General features: G+C 40.0%; 1 protein-coding gene across 2 annotated transcripts in view; it reads left to right on the top strand.

Annotated features, from left to right (window-relative positions):
* The window catches only part of PDK3 (pyruvate dehydrogenase kinase 3), an 85,181-nt gene extending 63,902 nt beyond the window's left edge, over positions 1-21,279 (top strand). Inside the window, exons 10-12 of one of the 2 annotated variants that reach the window (NM_001142386.3) lie at positions 2,470-2,583; positions 4,742-4,881; positions 9,947-21,279. In NM_001142386.3, the coding sequence (NP_001135858.1) occupies positions 2,470-2,583; positions 4,742-4,881; positions 9,947-9,977 (285 nt within the window). In that variant the 3' untranslated portion in view covers positions 9,978-21,279. Of the gene's footprint in view, positions 1-2,469; positions 2,584-4,741; positions 5,236-9,946 lie in introns of those variants that run through there. The other variant, NM_005391.5, reaches the window with a different exon arrangement.

Consider the following 23,861-nt stretch of genomic DNA (forward strand, 5'->3'; position numbering starts at 1 on the left):
TCTAGCACCTTCCCCAGTTGTTTAAAAGAAATATAGATTGTCTCTTCCAGGTCTTAAAATAGCATCTTGAGGATAGCTGTTATATCATAGGTTTTTTTTCTTATTGAAACTGAGGGCTTGTAAGAGACTTTTAACAGTTAACGCATGCGCACTCCCATTGTATAGATGAGGAAATGAGGAAATGACCTTGTCCAAAGTCATTGAACTAATTAACTGCAGAGCTGGTGCTGGCCATGTCTGTGTTCTTTCCAGTGTACTACGTGGCCGAAGAAATGCTTCTGCTAGTGGCTCTCCCAGTTAGGAAACTGGCCTGTAATCCTAGCACTTTGGGAGGCCAAGGCGGGTGGATCACTTAAGGTCAGGAGTTCGAGACCAGCCTGGCCAACATGGTGAAACCCTGTCTCTACTAAAAATACACGAAAATAGTCGGGAGCAGTGGCGCATGCTTGTAATCCCAGCTATTCAGGAGGCTGAGGCACAAGAATGGCTTGAACCTGGGAGGTGGAGATTGCAGTGAGCCTATATCATGCCACTGCACTCCAGCCTGGGCGACAGAGCGAGGCTCTGCCTCAAAAAAAAAAAAAAAAAGAAAAGAAAAAGAAACTGTCCTCAGCTTTAAAGTGGGCACATGGATATGTACTACTAGAAAACATAATTTCCTCATTGAGCAACTTACACTTTTACACCTTTTACACCTCTGTGCCTTTACATGTGCATTTCTGTTTGAGAATATCCACCCAGCGAACTCCTGCTGATCCTTTGACACTCTGGGAAACCTTTCCTGAACCTCAGCAAATCCGAGGTCCAGACCCCTCCTCTGCATTCTTTGGGAGTCTGGGCTTACACTCACATCTGCATTGGCCTCGGAGTTCTCGGCTCTTCTGTGTTGGACATGAGGGCAGGCTCTGGGCCTTGCTTGAACATAGAAGGCAGATTTGCTCACATCTCTTCCTAGAGTGAGCTAGTTTCTTTGCTGTGGTTACCTGAGTCACTACTATAAATATCTCATCTTCACTACTGGCCATATTCAGCAAGTCCCAAAGCCCTTAAATAATGGGGTACGTTCTTTTACCCCCTGCCCTTTCAGTTAAACCCTACCCTGAGGGAAGGTATCAAGGAGAGATGTTAGAAAATGGCAGAAATCTGTGTAACTTCATAAAATTGCTGCTCCTAGTAGCCATAGTACCAGCCTCAATTTATTTAGTTTTACTGTGTTAGGCACTGTGCCAAGATTTTATACTTGTTATATTATTTAATCCTTATAGCAGCTCTGAGGTCAGTTTTTTATCATATGTTCAGATGAAAACATGGTCTCAAAGAGGTTGAGTAAACTGCTCAGAGTCGCACAGAAAGTGGATTTCAACTGGGTCTGTCTGAGTCTAAGGCCCATGTGACTCTGTGCACATGGTCCCCTGCCCTCCTTCCTTAACCTTGTTCATAGATTTAACCAGAAGTGAGGAAGCTTGGTGTTACATCTCCTTCCCCACCCTGCCCCACTACCACCACAAATGGTATTACATTTAGTTTTGATTCTTACTGTTCTTGTCCATAGAACACCTGTTATTGACAGTCAGGATTCCTTGACATAGAGATATAGGAGGGTACTGAAAATTTTTTTAATCTCTAAAAATACCTGAACTACAATATACCAAAATATTCTCACATTCCCGGAACCTTAGTAGTTGCCTCTCAGAAAATTGTTTTCCTTTCCATGTTCTCGTCTTGTTACTGGTAGATTTGTACTCAGCACTGCGCTATTGATTTTCACTTGCAAAAGCAAGGAAATCTGATCATGGGACTTTGAAATGATGTGGTTTAGTTTTGTCATCAGGTCACATTCCACTTGATTTGGAATGTGCTTTTGTGTGTGTGTGTGTGTGTGTGTGTGTGTGTGTGGAGATGGAGTCTTGCTCTGTCGCCCAGGCTGGAGTGCAGTGGCGCCATCTCAGCTCACTGCAACCTCCACCTCCTGGGTTCAGGCGATTCTCCTGCCTCAGCCTCCTGAGTAGCTGGGACTACAGTCTCCCACCACCTCGCCCAGCTAATTTTTGTAGTAGAGATGGGGTTTCGCCATGTTGGCCAGGCTGATCATGAATTCCTGACCTCAAGTGATCCACCTGCCTCAGCCTCCCAAAGTGCTGGGATTACAGGCGTGAGCCACTGTGCCCGGCCTTGGAATGTGCTTTTAAAAAAATGATAAAATTTTGCTTTAAAATGCTAAAAAAGCATTAGTCAAAAATTAGAATATTTCTATTATTATCCAAACATATAAGACATGTTTTTGCAGGGTGAAAATAAAGGGGTTGTTTGCCATAGAAGAGGATATACATCATTGTAAAGGTTGAGTCAGTAATTTATTTGATTTAAATCTGAATCAAGAATTTATTTTAACCTTCTCTGAATGGTCATCATATAAAATGTGTTAGCATTTGTGCCTGTCTCACTGTATTAATTTTCTTTTCTCAATAGGCTGGATTTGGTTATGGTTTGCCAATTTCCCGTCTGTATGCTAGATATTTTCAAGGAGATCTGAAACTGTATTCCATGGAAGGAGTGGGTACTGATGCTGTCATTTATTTGAAGGTACTGCGTTTTATTTGTTAGTATGAGGCATCTTTGCTTTTTAAAGCTGTAAGTTCTAATCGCTGATTGAGAACAGCACTGTATCATCTCTTAGATTCATCTCAGATTTACTTCATTTTCCCATGAAAACCATGTTATGCCTCACGCTTGATTCTATGCTCAGATAAAGCAAAATATGAAACGTGGAGGTATAGAAATTAAAATACTGATTTTGGCCGGGCGTGGTGGCACATGCCTGTAATCTCAGGACTTTGGGAGGCTGAGGTGGGTGGATCACCTGAGGTCAGGAGTTCGAGACCAGCCTGGCCAACATGGTGAAACCCCATGTCTACTAAAAGTACAAAAAATTAGCTGATGTGGTGGTGCACGCCTGTAGTCCCAGCTACTCAGGAGGCTGAGGCAGGAGAGTCATTTGAACCCGGGAGGCAGAGGTTGCAGTGAGCCAAGATGGTGCCACTGCACTCCAGCCTGGGCGACAGAATGAGACTCCATCTCAAAAGAGAAAAAAAAAAATTAAAATACTGATTTTTAAAACCATAATTTTAAATTGTGACTTAAAAAACTACATGCCTATTGAAAGGTCTGATCTAAAAGAAGGCAGATTTTCATAAACTGAAGTATTTTGGTCTTTTGTTTTAAAAACTCACTGGCTTTCCCAAAGCTACAAGAATTCAGTAATCATAATATGGTTATGTAAAAGATTCATTTAATAACAAACTTCTCTGTAACACAGTTTTTCTTATTCATTGGTGATCATTGGGCTTTTATTTCTAAACTCTAGAATATTTGTAACATTTTTTTGAATAGGTAATATAGGCACATAATAAAAATTTAAAAGCTACAAAAGGAAAAATGAAGTCTCTCCTCCCACTGGCCCTAAACCGCCAGTTCTGTTCAGCGAAGATCACCACCGGTCTCAGCGTCTTATGGATCCTCCTAGAGTTGATTCTACATTTATAAATATGGGAAAAATAGAATTTTTCCCACATAAATGAAATTTCAGCACCTTCTTATTTTTTTTACTTTGCAATCTGTCTTAGAGATCTTTCCAGATCCATTTATGTAGAACTGGCTCATTCTTTTAAACAGTGGCATAACATGCCACTGTGGGTCAAGCATCCCTAACCCAAGAATCTGCAATCCAAAATGGTTGAAAATCTGGAACTTTTTGAGCGCCAACGTGATGCTTGCTCAAAGGTCAAGCTTAAAGGAAATGCTTATTGGAGCACCCCAGATTTCAGATTTTCAGATTAGGGATGCTTAACAGGTAAGCACAATGCAAATATTCCAAAATCGGAAAAAATCAGAACTACTTCTGGTCCCAAGCATTTCTTTCTTTCTTTTCTTTTTTTTTGTTTCTTTCTTTTTCTTTTTTTTTTTTTTTGAGATAGAGTCTCACTCTGTCACCCAGGCTGGAGTGCAGTACTGCCATCTCGGCTCACTGCAACCTCTGCCTCCTGGGTTCAAGCCATGCTCCTGCCTCAGCCTCCTGAGTAGCTGGGATTACAGGTGTGAGCCACCACACCCGGCTAATTTTTTGTATTTTTAGTAGAGACAGGGTTTCACCATGTTGGCCAGGCTGGTCTCGAACTCCTGACCTCAGGTGATCCACCTGCCTCAGCCTCCCAAAGTGCTGGGATTACAGGTGTGAGCCACTGTGCCCGGCCTGTTCCCAGGCATTTCAAAGGGATACTCAACCTATGTATGTGATACCAGAATTTAACCAGTTACTGGGAGTATTTATCTTAGATGCCCATGCATCTAAGTAATGCGATATTTAATATACTTGATGGTGTGTGTTTATAAACCTGGGATGCATGAGACTGTATCTCTTCCTGGGCCCTTTGTGAGACCAGTCACCAGGTATAGTCAAAACAGTTGAGCATCTCAAAGCAGTATGAGCTGAATTAAAATATGTTTTGTTCTGGTCATGTGTATTTCAGTTCTGATTTTGAATGAGCAAATGTTTTCATTCCTTTAAAAAAGCTTTAATGTTTTCCTGGCCAGTCTAAGTAAACTACTAAGGTGTAATTTTAATATCATTTTGAAAATATGTATTAAGGTTTCTGATGTTTTAAATAATAAAATTTGGGTTACTATTTCACTTGAGAAAAATGACACTGTCGACCTTTGGTGTATATTTTTGTTTCTCCAATAGGCTCTTTCAAGTGAGTCATTTGAGAGACTTCCAGTTTTTAATAAGTCCGCATGGCGCCATTACAAGACCACGCCTGAAGCCGATGATTGGAGCAATCCCAGCAGTGAACCCAGGGATGCTTCAAAATACAAAGCAAAACAGTAATATACCACCTTGATTTCCATTACAAAGTATCTGATTTGTCTGAATAAAGGTGTCCCACTCACTGTTCCAGGAATTCTTGCAGTGTAGAGGTATTCACAACAGCAAGCAGGGATTTGGCCTGCCATCAATTTTATTTAAAAAGCAATTAAGTTTGCAGTTTGTCCTCATAAACGTTGTAGGTTGAAACTGAAAAATAAGTTAAAATGATCAATCAAGATAAAAGGTGATCTATCCATCCAATGGAATATTATTTGGCCTTAAAAAGGAAGGACATTCTGATATGTGCTGCAACATGGGTGAATCTTGAAGTCATTATGCTAAGTGAAATAAACCAGACATAAAAGGACAAATACTATGATTCCACTTATGTGAAGTACCTAGAGTAGTCAAATGCAGAGACACAAAGTGGAAGGGAGGTTGCCAGGGGCTAGCGACGAAGATGGAATGGGGAGGCATTGTTTCATGGGTACAAAGTTTCAGGTGGAAAGATGAAAAACTTCTGGAGATGGATGGTGGTGATGCTTGCACAACAGCGTGAATGTACTCAATGCCACTGAACTGTACATGTAGCAATGGTTAAGATGGTAAGTTCTGGGCTGGGTGTGGTGGCTCACGCCTGTAATCCCAACACTTTGGGAGGCTGAGGCTGGATGATCTCTTGAAGCCAGGAGTTCAAGACCAGCCTAGGCAACATAGTGAGACCTCTGTCTCAGCAAAAAATTTAAAAAGGTAAAATTAGCCGTGTGTGGTGGTGTGGGTCTGTAGTCCTAGCTACTCAGGAAGCTGAGGCGGGAGGATCACTTGAGCCCAGGACTTCCAGGCTGTAGTGAGCTATGATTCGCACCACTGCACACCAGCCTGGGGGACAGAATAAGACCGTGTCTCAAATAAGAAAAAGGTGGTAAGTTCTATGTTATGTATAGCTTATCACAATAAAAAATGTTAACATTATAAAGGAAAAGTTATCAATCACAGAACAAGTTTCACTGTTTTATGGTAATAAGGAAAATAATCTGTAGTTTTCTTCTGACTATGTACCCTTAAGCTTCAACTCTACTAGCAACAGTGGGGTTCTGCTTCATTTAACTTAAAATAATCCTGTATTAACAAAAAAGCAGTATATGTGCATTATAAAAAATAAGAAAACATTGGCTGGGCGCAGTGGCTCACGCCAGTAACCCCAGCACTTTGAGAGGCCGAGGTGGGTGGATCACTTGAAGTCAGGAGTTGGAGACCAGCCAGGCCAATATGGTGAAACTCTGTCTCTACTAAAAATACAAAAATTAGCCGGGTGTGGTGGCACACGCCTGTAATTCCAGCTACTTGAGAGGCTGAAGCAGGAGAATTGCTTGAACCCAGGAGACAGAGGTTGCAGTGAGCCAAGATAGTACCACTGCACTCCAGCCTGGGCGATAGAGCTAGACTCCATCTCAAAAAAAAAAAAAAAAAAGAAGAAGAAGAAGAAGAAGAAAGAAAACATAAGTAAGCCAAAAAAGAAGGAGAAACCTCTGTGTTCCCAAAACCCAGAGATTGCCACTGCTATAGCTTCGTGTATATTCTTCCAGATATTTTGCCATTTGTGTATATATGTATTTTTTTTGCAAATGAGATTACACTATTCATACTATTTTACAACCTGCTTTTGTTTCATTTAACCATCCCATCTTTCCATGTCAATGATCATTCACTGCAACCTCTGCCTCCTGGCTTCAAGTGATTCTCATTCCTCAGCCACCTGAGTAGCTGGGATTACAGGCGTGGGCCACCATGCCTGGCTAATTTTTATATTTTTAGTAGAGACAGGGTTTTGCCATGTTGTCCATGCTGGTCAAAAAAAAAAAAAAGAAAGAAAAGAAGGAAGGAAAGGAAGGAAAAGAAGGAAGGAAAGGAAGGAAAAGAAGGAAAGGAAGAAAGGAAGGAAGGAAAGGGAGGGGGAAGGGGAAGGGAGGGGAGGGGAGGGAAGGGAAGGAAAGGAAAGGAAAGAGCTAATGGAGCATTTTTTGCTAGAATATCCATAAACACTGTTGCAGAATTACACTGAGACCCATGACATCTCATTGACCCACCATTAGTGATGTTATGATTGAGCATAGTTTAGGTGATGGCTGTCTGATCCCTCTGAGTTATAGTTATTTTTCCCTTTTTCACTAGAAAATAATCTGTGTGGTGTTATTTTGGCACTATGCAAATGTATACTTACCCATCAGCTGTTCACCTAATGGTTTTTACCCCAATTGATCATTTCGGCCTGTGTTAAAATTAACACAGTAATTTTATTTGGGTTTATAAAAGAATGTTTTTTTTTTAAATCATTCCTTTGTCAATTATTCTCCTATAAAGTAAAGCTCTTCCTCATCAAATAAGGCCATTTAGGTATTTTGAAGTACAGTTCCTCTGGTAACTGTTTAACTCCTTCCTTTTAAATTTAAAGGGACAATTAAATTCCCTTCAAGTTACCAATTTTCCAGGTAAGAAATATGTTAAAAGCCACCTTAAATGGTTAACAAATGAGTTTATGGCTTTGTCTTTTTTAGTGTTATAGTAGATTTTGTTACTTTGATATGTTTTAATTGGCACTTATTTTATTGAAGCATAACATATAGTAATAGTAAAGTGCACACATCTTAAGTTTACAGCTTTTTTTTTTACATCTATATTTCCTCTACCCACAAAGACTCCTTTCTAGTCAAACAGTTGTCCCTCCCTCCTCCACCATATAATTGCTTTTCTAACTCTATCACCATAGGTTCTCTTCTTGAATTTACAAGGAACACATAGTCTATACTCTTTTTGTGTCTGGCTTTATGTGAGATTCATCCATGTTATTGCATGTAACAGTCATTTTCCTTTTTGATGCTTGAATTGACATACCTTTGGCCAATGAGAGCTATTTCCAGCTGGATCCTTAGTGTTCTATTGCCAAAACTCATTAATCTTTGAAAGCTTTTCTTGCCCAAGATGATATCCTAGATTCATCTTATACCTTCTGTGCCTGTGTCCTAGAATCAACTGTTTCCCTCAAGGAGTCTTGTTTCTTTTCTTTTCTTTTTTTTTTTTTTTTTTGAGACAGAGTCTCACTCTGTCACCCAGGTTGGAGTGCAGTGGCGCAATCTCAGCTCACTGCAGCTCTACCTCCTGGGTTCAAGCGATTCTCATGTCTCAGCCTCCCAAGTAGCTGGGACTACAGGCATGAGCCACCACGCCTGGCTATTTTTTTTTTTTTTTTTTTTTTGTATTTTTAGTAGAGTTGGGGTTTCGCCATGTTGGCCAGGCTGGTCTCGAACTCCTGACCTCAGGTGATCTGCCTGCCTTGGCCTCCCAAAGTGCTGGGATTACAGGCATAAGCCACTGCACCCAGCCCTGTTTCTTTTTAATCAGTATTAGAGATGCTAATCTGATAATTGGGGATGCTTGTTATACCTTTTTTAGGCCCTTTTCCTTGACAGACAGAGCTATAAAATATAGCTATATTTAAAATATATTTTAAATCATAAGTTCATATTGATATTTTATTCTATTTTAACATTGTAATGTTTCTCCCCAATATATTTTAATTGTATATATTTCTTATTATCCTGAAAACCTTGATTTTTAACATCTTTAACACAATGCAACAGAAAGATATTTGTACACAAATACAGTTTATATAGCTTTGCAGTATTGTACCATTTAGTAGCGTTGGTCTTCTCTGACAAGTGTTATAAATGATATCCATATGGATGTTTATTTTTTTCTATGGAAGTGTCATGGTGGACTGCTACGCAATATTGCTGGACTGGCCACTCATCTCAAATGATGAAGTTTAGAGAAGTTTGGTTTGTGGAAACAAACATACTTACTCTCACCATTCCCAGCCAAGTTTAAGCTAAATCAGCTTGAAATACCTGGATCATATCAATTTCTGTTGATTCCATTTTCAGTCTGTATGTAAGTCAAATAGAATGTTGAGCATCGATGTGACCAGTTGATTCAAACTGCTCAAACTATTGCTCTGATATGTGGAGTAATTTGAGTAGTGCAGAAGCCATCTTTAGAAAAAGGTTTGGTTGTAAAAAGGTGGCTTTAATTGAATATTATTTTAAAGGCAATTTTTAAACTAAGGTTTAAACTAAGGTTTAAATTTTAAACTGAAGGTTGTATGCTGATTATTAGTCTTAACTTCTAATATATTATTAGGTGAACAAATTTAAGCAGAAAGCAGTTCTTAAAATTTTAAAATGCTTAGCCTGACAGTTAAAATTGTTAAACTATACAAATAATCGGTAGAGATTTGGGGAAAGACTTTAGTAAGTATGGTAAATTCACTAGGTATTTATACATGAGAGGTTCTAAGAAAATTTATTTTCAAAACAGTTTCTAAGTGAGAGTTTTATTGAGATTAATTCACACAACATAAAATTCACCCTTTACAAATATATAATTCTGGCCGGGCACAGTAGCTCACGCCTGTAATCCCAGCACTTTGGGAGGCCATGGCGGGTGGATCACTTGAGGTCAGAAGTTCAAGACCAGCCTGGACAACATGGCAAAACCCCGTCTCTATTAAAAATACAAAAATTAGCCGGGCGGTGGTGGCGGGTGCCTGTAATCCCAGCTACTTGGGAGGCTGAGGCACGAGACAAACCCAGGAGGCATAGGCAGCAGTGAGCCAAGATCACGCCACTGCACTCCAGCCTGGGCGACAGAGCGAGACTCCATCTCAATAATAAATAAATAAATAAAAGTATACAATTCCATATTTTTTAGTATATTCACAGAGTTGTGCAGCCCTTCCCACTAACTTTAGCATATTTTCATCACCCCAAAAAGAAACCTCATAGTTTTTAGCAGTCACTCTATATTTCTAACCAGAGTTTTCACTGACAGTAAAGAACCGTTTTAAAGTATATATAAGTAATTAAATGGTCATTCTATTTCTGTAGTAATTGTAGAAAATAATTCTGAGATATGGCAAGGGTTTTTGAATTATCACTATAATGAAATACTCTAAAAGTCCTGGTCAAAACAGAGGAGGTTGTACTCACAAACTCACTATGGATATTCTCATTATTTTCTTTGTAGAGACAAGATCAAGACTAATAGAACTTTCTAGAGGACTGAATGCTGTGGTCCTCTCTGTGAAGAAAGATTGCCTTCTGCAAGTCAAACAGAGAGAACTGCTTTCTCCCACCTGCTCTGAGCGTGGCATCACAGTTATTCCTAGTGCTTAAATGTGTATTTTCTCTCTACCACCTGGACTTTCCCAAAGAGTTTTTCCTGTAGCTACTCCAGATCTTCCACTAAAGTAGTAACTTTTTAATGACATCTTGCTGTGGTGTGATTGATGCCTGTCACCGAAGAGCACAGAGCCTCCTTACAGCTCTTGTGCCCTCGTACTCTCCATCTTGTTATCATAGCATCTGATGTCTTCAGTCCTTCCAGGATTCTGTGCGCCTTTCCCATTCCAGATACAGCAGATCGTACTGTTGCTCCTTGTGACCAAATACCATATTTGTCCCAAACCTCCACCTAGGGCCCTGGGACCCTGAAAGTGGAAGACATCAGGTGGCCATGCCCTGATGATTTAGTCCCAGAGCCCTCCGTCTCTCCCGTGCCTCCCTCCGCCACTCTATGATTTAGACTTTTGCCTTCTTCCATCTGATCGGATTCTCATTGTGAGATGTGGTGACTTTCATGTTAGATCTTCTTCATTGATGCCTTGGTTTTATTTTAAAATTCATTTGTATATGTCTGTTGATTAAAGCATTCGAAATGTTATCTTAGAATTTTTCACCCAACTGCTTGGTTTCAAAGATCTTAAGTGAAAAACTGCCTCCTGGTCAATACCAAATTTGTACAGAGTGTGAAGTGGAGTTTTTATGCTTCTGTCAAACTTCCATCCATCTAATACTGTACCTGTGTCATATTTTATTCCTTTGTAGTCTTCTAAGGAATTGGAAGTTTCTGTATGATGCGCTTTACTAGTTGTAAAATAGACTATCAGAGGGAAAAGGCCTCTCTAGTTTATTTTTGAAAAATGCTCCAGGTCTTAATAATTTTCATTTTCATTCATCTTAGTTTTAGAATTGTCACCTCAGTCTGATTTTCACAATCCTTTTTGCTAAAAGTTGGAAGTGGGAATTAGCAGACGATTTGGGATAAGGAAAGAGGAATGATGTTATATTTACCCTTAGGAATAGAAGTGACCGAAGAATCCGGATTGAAACCAGCATCCTATATACAGCTCCACAGGATGTGCTTCTCTTCATGGTAATTTTCCATATATATCATCTACTTTGATTTCTGCCCCGTTTTAATGTCCATATAAATGTTTCAGTCCAATTTGTAAGTGTTGAGTCCACTGATGTAGAAGTTCTGACTTGTAAACCATTCATCCTGCTTTAGTCATATGATAGTACCGATGCAATTAGCTCCTCTCCCACCACCGTGGGGGATTTCTCCCTGAGATGAGGTGTGCTTTGACCAGCTGCATGTGGCTTGATTGCATTCCTGTTTCTCTTAGTTCCACTGGATCTTGTTTTCTTTTATTTCGTTATATTACCTGAGCTCAGGGTAGTTCCGTTCATCTTTAGAAAGAGCTCATCTCTTCCATCCTTAGAAGGATCTCATCAGAGAACTCATATGTAATCAATCAGGTAAAAGAAATACTGATGTACTTCTGAGAGACTGGTGAGAGGTGGGTCATAGGAAGCCCATAGGTCTGAGGACCGAGTCAGTGTCTTGGGGATGGGGCTGTTCCATATGATTATTTTTGTGTGGCATAAAAGATGTAAAAAAAAAAAAAAATGGTCCTTTACATGCAAAGACCCTAGCTTCCTTTTTTTTTTTTTTTTTTTTTTTTTTTTTTTTTTTTTTGAGACACAGTTTCACTCTGTCCCCTAGGCTGGAGTGCAGTGGCACCATCTCGGCTCACTGCAACCTCCGCCTCCCAGGTTCAAGCAATTCTTGTGCCTCAGCCTCCCGAATAGCTGGGATTACAGGCATGCACCACCACGCCCAGCTAGTTTTTGTATTTTTTTGTAGAGACGGGGTTTCACCATGTTGGCCAGGCTGGTCTCGAACTCCTGACCTCAAGTGACCTACCCACCTCAGCCTCCCATAGTGCTGGGATTACAGGTTCGAGCCACTGCGCCCAGCCGACCCTAGCTTCCTTATAAACATGAGATAATATCTTCCTAGGCCTCAATTTCCAACGATACTCCTTTATGCTTTCAAGTGTGATACACTGTAGGAGAGAGGAGGCAGCAGTTTAGGGGGTGCTGCCTACTGCCTGACTCTGACAGCGTTTCTCTTGTTTGAGGAAGGCCCATCGATCACCACATCCTCACAAGCAGTACCATGTAAGGGGCCGAATATGGATAATATGGTGTAGAAAAATCTCATCACATTCTTCCCTTTACAAGTGTTTTTCAAAAGTAAAGATTGATTTCAGTGTCTTCATGACTTAATCGGTAGTTCTTTACTAGCACGCTTTTTGGCTTACTCACATCCATCTGACCCCAGTACAACCTTGCTTCTCCTGTCTTTGTTTTCTTCATTAAGAATTTATCTTTAACCCTAAAGCAACTGCAAGAAGAGTTTCAGGAACATCTGTGTTCTTCTGGCTTACTAGCCTCTTTACCCAAGTATTCATTTATCCTGTTTGTCAACTGTACATGATTCTTTTAATTTAGGCAGAGAATCTGGCTGTTTACTGGGTTTGCCTATAAGCAAATGGTCAGATTTCCCCCATATAGGTTGTAACACAAATAGACATGGACCCTTTTTCAGCTAAATTCTTTCCCATTCCTCTGTACTGCTCTTTCATTTACTCTATTTTATTTTAAGTGGGGACTGTGTCTATTTAAAATAGTGCCTGACACATAGTAGGTGCTTAATAAACAATGTTAATAAATAATATTAAAATAATGAATAATATTCATAAATAGTAGGTGAATCAAAGATAGAAAACTGTCAGACATTTTCCTTGGGTGGTAGGGCAACATCTTTCTAAGTTCTTAAACCATCCTTGTCTCTAAATTAAAAATATGGAAGTTCAAGTCAGGAGCTGTGAAAGTGCTGAATTTCCTTTTTATAGTGCTAAGAGATGACTTTAAAATGTAGAGAAATGCAAGGAAGTGGAGGGATAGATCCGCAGGAGCCATCTCTTCCTTTTTTTGTCTCTGAATATCTGATTTTGGCTCCTGAATACAGAATTCTTTCCATCCAAACAGTGTGACATAGTTTTACAGCCTTGTGTATAGATTCCAAAGACCTTTTGCATACAGCATGCCATTTGATCCTTACAATGCCATGAGCTGGACTACACAGGTATATCGGTTTTTTGTATGAATCCCAAAGCAATTAAGGAGTTTGCCAAGGTGGCATGGTAAGTCAATGGAAGGGCCAAAGCAAGCACTTGGGTGCTTGGAACAGTACGCCAGGTGATTTGTATTATCTCTTTTGAGGAATTTCTTCAGTATACTATTCCTCAAAGGGTAAGCTCTAAACCCCAAATTATCTGTAGAGCAAGTTAATTCCGTTCAGGAGAGGGTTTCTTTTGTGTGTTTCCATTTTGGCATAGTTAGAGGAGATAATCAGATGGATTTGGCAGCTTTTACCAAAAATGACAGGCAACTTAAAGTGGATAGCTGTAGGTAATTACTAGAGTTATTTAGACTTAATTCTGTGTCTGAATGAATTCAGTGCTTACTGCCAGCCCTTTCATACAAAGACTCCACATTTGAGAGCTGATGTTTTTATCTTTTTTGCAGACTGGATTACAGCTTCGGTTGGGTTTTCTTGCATATTTACAAATGTATTCCTGTTGCTGTTACTTACGAACAATAACTTGGCTGGCTATCGGATTCTTGGATCACAGCCTTTTTCCTTGAATTCTCTGGAGACAGGATGTTATTGCTACTTTATGGTTGTCCATATCTGGTGGTGCTGACAGGTCTGAGTCCTGATGGATTTTTCTTCCCCTTTTGTAGATGACCTGATTGTTTGCCCTGGATACTTGAATTCTTTGTTTATCCTTGAAATTTAGTAACTTCGTTGGAGTATATCTCAGGATTGACTGTTGTCTGTTGCCTTTTTCTGGAATGCAGTGAGCATTAGATATGGTCATTTCAAGCCTCACTGCGTTTTGTATCAGTTTAGTCTGTTCTCTTCTTGAAAACTTCATTTTTATATTGGCTCTCTGTCATCTGTCCTTCACAGTTATCTTTCCTTAGATGGCACTCATCTCATCTTTCTTCATTCATGCTGTATGATTTTTTTCTCAAGTCTTATCCTCCATTTCACTGACTGACTCAGTTTTCTGTACTGTTGATTCTAGGGCTTGTTCCTTGTAATGTGGCTTCCACTTCTGTTACAGTTTTATTTATTTTATTTTATTTTATTTTATTTTTTTCAAGATAGTGTCTCACTCTGTCACCCAGGCTGGAGTGCAGTGGTGTGATCTCTGCTCACTGCAACCTCCGCCTCCCGGGTTCAAGCAATTCTTCTGCCTCAGCCTCCTAAGTAGCTGGGACTACAGGCTTATGCCACCATGCCTGGCTAATTTTTGTATTTTAGTAGAGACAGGGTTTCACCATGTTGCCCAGGCTGGTCTCAAACTCCCGACCTCAAGTGATCCACCAGTCTCAGCCTCCCAAAGTTCTTGGATTATAGGTGTGAGCCACCGCGCCCAGCCTAGTTTCATTTTTTATCTCTTTCTTTCCTGAGCTCATTATGTTGTCCTCTTTGATTGCGTATTTCTTCCAGTGCTGAACAATTTTGTCTACAGTTTTAGTGGTTTATGAGCTCATTCTTTTTCTAGAGTGTATTTATCTATCCTTTGCATCTTTCATTCCTTTTCTTGTATTGTTTTGCTTTTATCTTGATGCACAAGTATCATGATGACCCCTTCTGCTTATTATTTATCTTTGCATGGTACCAGTTTTACCTGTCCAAGAAGAGTGTGGGTAAATCCTCCTTGACTCCTTCTCTTTTGAGCGAGACATGTTTGAAGGATAACCTTAGCACTTGAACCCTAAGGCTAGCTCTTGATGGGTTGTAGTGGTGGAGGGTGTTTTTGGTTTTCATTCTGTTTGGATTTGGGGGAATAAGGAGTGACACGAAGCCTCCTTGGAACATGTTGTCTGTGAGTGCCTTCCATAGACACTGTTGAATCCTCTGCCCTGGGGGTGGCCGGGTCCCATTGGGAGACAGATCCTCTTTGCATTTCCCCATTCCCACTAGTCGTCATCCTAGCAGGAACATGGTGGGTTTGTACTTCTGCCCTCCTGGATTCCATGTAGCCCACATTTGTGAGATCGGCTCCAGAGTTGGTTTCTCTCCTCTGGTCCTGCTTCTCGCCGCTCTTCCTCTTTTGGATACCGGAGGGGATGAACACACATGGTTCATCTGAGATCTCAACCGCCTGTCCTCGTTTTTCTGGAAACATGCACGCGCAGAGTGTGCCCAGCTTCTCCCGACTGTTGCCAGTCCTGTTTTGCCAAGTTAACAAATGATCAGTAGAGTCTTGGGAATCTTCTCATTAACTGCCCAGCAGTTGTGGCTGCTGGAGACTCGGAGAAATGCCTGGCAAATGCAAGAACTCTTCTTCGATTCATCCCCAACTTGGTTGTATCTGTCAGACATTGCCCTGGAGTCCGTGGTATGGAGTTGTAGCTTTTACTAGTTTCATTATAGACAGCTTGTTGTTCAACTTTTGGATGTGTGGGTCAGAGGGCAGGAGCACTTATATAAACATGCATTTATTCTGCCATCTTTTCAGCAGTCCAGATGCTTAAACATTGACTTTGAAGCTAATGTCCTTCATAATCTACATTTGAGCAAACAGAAGGAAGCAATATTGCCAGCAAGAAAGGACGATTAACTTAATCAATACGGGATTTTTGTTTACTGTTCTGTGTGGAAAGATAACTTTTAAGTCAAGTTCCTGTCTCATTGATTAGAGATATCAGTACCTTCTGGTTTGAAAATAGAGGACATATGACATTTTAATGAACTTAAGTTATCAGCCATTGACAATTATTAGTTAGCTGATTAAATATGATAGAATACTCCAAACTAGCACATCACCAGAGTTACCAAGAGACGCCTAAGCTCTTCTTTATGAACAGGTTGTTGGTGGAGCTGTGCCACTGAGGGGGTTAACATCTCTGACACCTTAACTGTGCCACAGGTTTTCTTACCTGTCTTTTCAATCAACCCATTTTAAAATTTAGTTCATCAAGAAAGAGAAAGGTGTTAAGTCTTCATCAGGATTCCTTTTGGTTTCTCATGAATACATATTCACATGGTTTGGAGACCTGGAGCCCACCACCAAAGCACACTGAGTTAATGTTTTGAAAGTGCATTTGTAGGTAGATCCTGGGGCTGGGGTTTTATTTGGCCTGTTTGTAGAATTGAAGCCTCTTTGCCTCAGTGGTCAGCACATCCCACCAGACATCCGGCAGCAAGCTTTCGTCACCTTCAGAGCTCTAGCATAATGATAAAGGAGCACTAGTGACAGCCTTGCTGTATGCACCAAGCTCCACCCTGGGCAGTGCCTTTCCCTAATGTCTGTCCTGGTGTGAAATGGAGACTTGAAGACCGGTACCCACATGTAAGAGAGGTTAACGAAGGGAGGGTGGCAGAGAGAGGAGTCATGTGAAGGAAAGCTACCTTTAGTCCTCCATCGCAATACTGTCCAGTGTCTCCAGCGTGCTAGAAACTGTGCTGAATGCTGGGCACATGGCAGGGGTCAAAGCAGACAGAAATCCCTGCCTCATGAACCCACTTTCTATTAGGGGAGACAGACTAGAAACACAAAAAGGACATTGAATAGTACGATTGAGAGATGAGTGCTATGGAGAAAAATCCAGCCAGAAAGGGAGATGCAGAAGATAGCACCAGATCTTCTCAATGTTGTTTTCATCATGGACAGGTGCGTTCCTTAGAAGATGAAGTGTTAGTGATTCCTGAGTTTTTCTCACCTTCACGTCGATTGATCTGAATTTGGAGAGTCTGTTTTCTGTGTCTGGCTCTGCACTCAACTTTGTAGGGGACCCTGTCGAGGTCCCCACACTGTGGCTTCAGGTAGACAGAGCAGATGGGAGCCCATTTCAGTTCATTGTCTTGCTGACCAATGGGGAACTGTGGTCAGGTGAGAGGAGGCAGCTTTTACAATCAGACTTCATTGAATAGTGTGGGCTGCTGTTTCCTTGTAACAAAACCCCATAATGATGGCAGTTTCCGGATGTGTCTTTTTAGGACTTCAGAACTTATTATTTGAATAGAAGTTTAAAGCATCTGGATGATGATGCTGTAGCTAAAACAGCTGCTTGTCAGAAGAGACCCTATTTAACACTTCTAAACTTGTTTCAGAGGTGGAGGAAAGGATAATCTGGGAAGGCCTCCCTCTCAAGTCCACAGGTTGGTATCAGCTGTGTTCATCCCCCAAAAGGAAAATAAAATGACAACAATATTTTGGTCACAGAATTCCTGAGAAACCTCTGTTTCTATCTTCATGTCTTTAAGATAGGGACATGAATTCCCCATGATCTGGGTGATAGGGTTAGGGTGGCCAGGACACTGTTACTTTGTGTGTGACACAGGTGGCTCCTCATGACAGTTCCTCCATGCCTTAGAACATGTTGTCTGTCTGGTCATCCCTGGGGGTAGAGCTGAGTGACCCAGCAGTGGGAGATTTAACAACTGGAGAAGAAGATGGGATGTGTTTAATTATCCCCAGAGGTAGGGCCAATTTGTCACCCTTTAAATAGACTTATTTGCATATAAACTAAAGCACCTTAGGGCATCATTACCGAAAGTGTCTAAGCAAATGTCTGATATAGTTACGTGCCTGCATTAAAAGAAAGCAGCCCCCTTATCTTGCCTTAATATCCTTACAGTGTTTTAATAAGTTCATAATGCATCCTGTATGTGCATTTTTTGGTATAAAACACCGAAAGGTGGAGAATTGACTTCAGTTCTCTCCATCCTTTCCCCTTAAGTGTTGGTGGCGCTGCAGGGGCAACGTGCCTCCCATTGGAAGTGGTGACTTCCTCTTTGATAGAGGTTTGCCTGTCTCTTGAAAATGAAAAGAAGCGGAGATTGATCTCTGGAGTCCCATGGTCCAGTTTGGACTATTGGGAATATTTTTTATGGGATGTTAAAAACAATATTAGAGACGTGAGATAGTAAATTTGTGGTAATACCGGATCCAGGAAGCTTACAGTGAAGAGTATGAACTTAACCTGAAAAGTATTTCTCTGTTCTATAAATCTCTCAGTGACATTTGGATTAATCAAGCATAATTAAATGTAGTTAGATTTTTGTCAGATTGTAGTTCAAAATAATATTCATCTATGGAGAGGGTAATATATTATGTAGAAATTTTATTAAGCACTTTAGTTAAGCAAACACTAAGGAGAACAAAATCAACCTCAGGAAGGTTAATTACTAAAAAAATCACAAAGTATAGTAGATTATGTAAATCATTTTAATTTTGAATACCATGGCTTGAGCTTTAATTTACATAGAGACGTATTTTGGATTTGTTTTTCACATTATATTTTCTAGTACAGGATTGCAATTGCATTCTTGAAAAGTTCTACTCATTTTAGGATTCCATTAAGTTTGCTTAACTTTTTTCATGTTATAATTTCCAAAAGCAAAGAATTACAATTGTATTCTAGCTAATTATTTTAATGTTTCACTAACTTTGTGTGTATTGTAAGACCATATTTTTATTTCTATACAAATGATGATTTTAAGAGAAGTATCAGGAGAGAGAATGTATATGAAAGCATCGCGTCCACGCCTGGCTTTGCAATAAGTGTTCATTTAAAAGAAAGACATTTACAAAGGTAAAACATAAGAGTTTAGACTATAGCGATAAATCTTTTTATTTTAGTAATTTCTTTAAAGGGAAAAGTAAAGAGATCAAAATGATTTTATATGTATTTTTTTTGTACTCAGAGAATTACATTTTCACTACCCCCGCCTGTCTCAGGGAATAGCCTTTGATAAGAATCCCATGGAGATCTCTGGAACTCTATTACAGTGTGTTCAGATTTGTTAGTTCATATGTAAATTTCAGAGCTAGAGCTTCAAAACTAGAGTATTGTAATCTCAGGAACATAAGATTATCCAAGAAGCCTGAACCTTGCTCTTTTCATGATAAATGACATCCAAATTTCCTTTGTCTAGGAGATAAGCATAGATCCCTTTTATCATGCTTCTCTGAGATTTTCACAGAACAACCCTGCAATTTGATTTTGTTTGATAATTTTGCTTTTTGGCTTTTCAGTGAGGACTCTATTTTCCATTGGAACTGACTCCTTTGGGGATAATAAGCTTTCACTTAAAAGAACATTCCATTAGATAGTTCTAACTTCAATGAACCTAAAAGTGGCTTCTTAATTTGAATAATCTGGATAACTTTTGCAAATGGGTCAAAACAGCACAAGTATCAACAATCACGTATGTACTGAGTAATATTTGCCCTCCAGTTAGCAAAGTCAAGAAATGTCTAACTCTGGCACACAGCACTGGTTTTAACTACTCTTTAGTTCATCTTTGCCTTCCAAATTGGTTGAAAATGGCAAGCTTAGAATGGAATGCATATTAATAACAGAACCACTTAATGTTTTAAAATATTCATACCTTGAGATTCTTTTTGAGAGAAAAAAGAAATCTTAACATCCAATTCTAGTTGTTTTGGCTTTTCACATATGCTAGACATGAAAAAGGCAGTTACAAAAGTGAAATCCGATTGGAAGTCAGTGGTGTCCGCCATTGAGCCGTGCTAAATGTCGTGTCACAAAAGGAGTTTGTGAAAACAGGATGAGTAGAAAATGTTATACTGTTGTTTCTATCGTGGCACCGCTTTCTTATAAATTCCATTTGCTTTTTGTCATCTGAACTGTTACAACCATGGGAAACCTCAGTCCATATTTTTAAAAGCACTATATACTTACAGGAAAAACCGACTTATGCCTTCATTGAAAAAATGTTGAAGTTAATATCCCAAATGTTTAATGAGCATGTTTTAGAATATTTACAGCTAAAGTCTGTCACTTTAGGGATTTGACAAAACTTGAGACTGCCTGCCACCGAAGAGGGACCAGGCAGAATCTTCTCAGCCTTGTAACCAGCGTTAAAAAAATATAAGGGGCTTGATGAGATCCTAGATCTGCTCCTTTTCTCCTAGGTGCCTGGGTAACTCCTGGGGAAAGCATCATATTAAGTCCTTTTCAAGCAAGGTGTGTGATTTTGACCAATGAATTGAGCTGATATGTGATTTTGACCAATGAATTGTGCATCTATTTAAAAATTACCAAGTGTATCTTGACTCTTGAGTGGACAGTCAAGGCAAAGTTTACTTAGGAAATGTAAAGTATGGAGTGTTTTAAAAAATTCAAATTGAGTTTATTCACTGTTGGAGGAATTGAATTCTATTGCCTCCCTCATTTCCATTATGTTCATTGTTACAATTGTGCTGCTCTGTTCTCATTGTGATGCTTAGTTCTCGTGTAGAACTGAGTGCTACATTGTGATTAGAAACTGGAGTTGTGCTTGAGTCAGTCCTGGAAAACAGGACCCATTTTTAAGAAGAACGGAACATACCACTTTGGCATTCTGGCTGACCCTAATTTCTGCAGAGTTCCTTGGTGTTAAAATCATTTGAGGTCATAGTTGCTGCTTATGGTTTATATACACACCATCTGCTGCTCTAAGTTCACATCCTCTCAAAAGCATGCAAGTGCTTGAAATTTAAATATTTCCCAGATCTAAAACAACTTGTGACTACCTAAGAAATGCTTGAACCAAATAAGAAACAGCACTGTGGAATAAAATATACCATTGTGAACATATCTGATGCTGCAATGAAATGTAAAGTTCCTTACTTTGCTGATTTTTCATCATAACTCCTTGACTCATAAAAGCGGTGTCTAAACTGGGAACAGCTGCTAATAGGGTAAAAGTATTATACATCAAATAAAAGTTCATTACAATATTTGTACTCATAAGTCAAAATCTGACCTGGTTCGCTTTGTGCCTCTGTCAGCCTACTTACAGTGATAAATGTACACACAAGTCCAGTGTTGCCAAGGAGCTTTGTTTATAGAAAGAAGCTTGGTCCCCTCAGTTCTATGCTGTTGTGTGGCCTGGTTGGTACATGCCGTCATGATGAAGGATGACTTTGGTTTGAGATAATTTGTCACTCCACATTCCATGGAGAAAAGTGTTTCATTTTGATGTTGGAAAAACATGACCAGAGAAGCATGTGACTCAGATAATGTTCCCCGGAAGTTGCAGAGCAATCTGTGGTGTCTGTCATAGCCCAACTAGTCCTGGAGCACATGGACAATTCTGTACCCCAATAATCAGAACAATAAAATGGTAGTTGTGATTCACTGTGCGTCACTGTGGTGTTTTGTGAGCCCTCGTCTATTTCTCATCACTCCCACCTATAAACTTCTCTCTCTTGGTTTCTGAAATTCAGTACATTAACGGCACCAAGCACCTTTGCAAATTGCTGGGAATAGACAAGGATGCTTGCTTAAAGTCTTATGATTGAGTGAAGGAAAATAGGTTATTTGGAGTCCCTAGCAGGGAACATGGAGCTCACCTTTTTTGGGGAGCATCCTATGGGTGAAATATAGTAGCTGTATAATAGTAAACTGTTAGAGTTGGTATTTTTCAAAATATGGTCCATGGATAGAAGAAAGAGGGCCATACACTGTACTGTCTAAGTCAGGACACTTTTGAGAATGAAAAAGAGCACTATTAACAATTGTTTCTGTAAACCGTGTAAGCAGGTGTACACTGGCACGGTCCTGGGCAAACTGAGATGGCCTGGCCATGGCCCACCCACACCAGAACGACCTGAAATGCTGGCTTATGCAGATTCCTGGGCCCTACCTCAGCTCTTCTACTGATTGATTCTCTAGGGGGCAGTGGGAGGCCCAGGAATCTATATTGACAAATGCTCCAGGGGAATTGTTTTAAAAACTAACATTGCAAACTGCTGCCACACGGCATCTTCAGAAGACAAACAACTTGAGTTTTTCAATGAAAGTGCTATTGGTTCCATGGTCTTTTATAATGAACTGGGCAGCACCGACACCAGAACCCAGTGCCTCCAAAGACATTTGGCTACAGTTAAGTGCTTTCTGAATAATTAACAGATGTAGTCCTCAAGCTCTTTAGCAGTGTGTAATTCTTTTACTAAACATTTCGTGGTGAAGAGGTGCCTTTTCATTTTTTAATTGGAGAGCCACATAACTGCTATCTTCCATGTTTAACGCTAAAAAACAAAAGTTCTCAAAAATTTGAGGCAAATGCCTTGGTTTTGAATGGTCCTTGGGGAGTGTTCATATCAGGAAATCACGTTTGTCTTTGTTCAGCTACCAATTATCTCTGTTAACTGTACCTTAGTTTCCTCATCTATAAAATTAGGGAGTTTCTGGGCAGAGTGGCTCATGCCTGTAATCCCAACATTTTGGGAGGTCAAGGCGAGAAGATCACTTGAGCCCAGGAGTTTGAGAACAGCCTGGGCAACATAGCGAAACCCCCATTTCTAGAAAAAAATACGAAAATTAGCCGGGTGTGGTGATGCACACCTGTAGGCCCAGCTACTCAGGAAGCTGAAGCGGGAGGATTGCTTGAGCCTGTGAGGTCGAGGCTACAGTGAGCCATGATCACGTCACTGCACTCCAGCCTGGGTGACAGAGTGAGACCCTGTCTCAAAAATGAATGAATGAATGAATGAATGAATGAACAAAATTAGGGAATTGGACTACGTGGATTCCAGACTCCAGGTTTGATGTTTTGTGGCACTCTTTAAAAACCTAAAATGGGAAGCAATTACTAACCTACTTTCATGTTGTTTTTATATATCTATGTATATGGAATATAAAAGCAGTGACTCTTGAAATTGACAGTGGTTTTACTCAGAATTTTAGTATTATCCATCTGCATTTTACCAAAGGTCAGCTGCTGTGTTAAGACATCATTGATGACTTGGGAATCGTGTTTTCGTAGCAGCCACTCCTGCCCTGGTTTGAAATCCATAAAGTATGTGCAGTTTAGGCTCACAAAGAGACTATTTAACTCAAGACTGCACAGTTCCATGTAGCTGCCACAGAGCATCACACTTGAGTGTACATTTTTACTTTTTTGTCATTGATTTCAAAATCCTTTCCAAATGACTTAATAATGCTTGCTTACAAGTGATTATCTGCTGATATTTTCAGATATTTGCTTCATAATAACGTACTTACACTTTGATCACATGAATAAATCATAAGGCATCGTGTAGAAGGGGTTGCGTCTGGGAAGGGTTTCTGTAGACCACCATCCACCACTAGGACTCTCTGCAGTGCTGGAAACGTGCTACATCTGTGCTGTCCAATATGGCCACCACTAGCCACCTCAACAGTTAAAATGTGGCTAGTGCAGCTGAGGAACTGAATTTTACATTTTATTTAATTTTCTGAATTTAAATAGCCACGTGTGGCTAGTGGCAACCATATTGGACAGCCATTTCATCTGTTGAATTATTTAAAATTAGCGTCGAGCACCCGTTTTCACCAGTCACCAGGCTGGGTGCTTTACAGCAATTGTGTCATTTTTAAACGTTGGTGTTAAAATGAATCCTTTGTCAATGAATCCTTTGTCCTCTGCCCACTGATGACACTTTCATCAACATAATCATCTCTCTCTCTCCTTGGTTAAAAAACATAAAATGATACTTAGACCATTTCCTAGTGTGGCCACATGGCAGACCAGTTCTCGTCTTTGCTACACAGGCCATTGACCATCTACCTCTTTGAATCCATTTACTTTCGGGCTTATTTTGTTCCCTGAACTGACGTATTACCATAGCCCAGAGGGTCTCAATCTGGCTCCACTTCAGATCCATTAGAGGGGTGCTGAGGAGTCTTTTTTTGAGTTCCCTGGGAGATTCCAACATGCAACAGGGTTGAAAACCACC

Source organism: Homo sapiens, chromosome X (genome assembly GCF_000001405.40).
Source record: "Homo sapiens chromosome X, GRCh38.p14 Primary Assembly".
In the NCBI taxonomy this organism is placed as follows: Eukaryota; Metazoa; Chordata; class Mammalia; order Primates; family Hominidae; genus Homo; species Homo sapiens.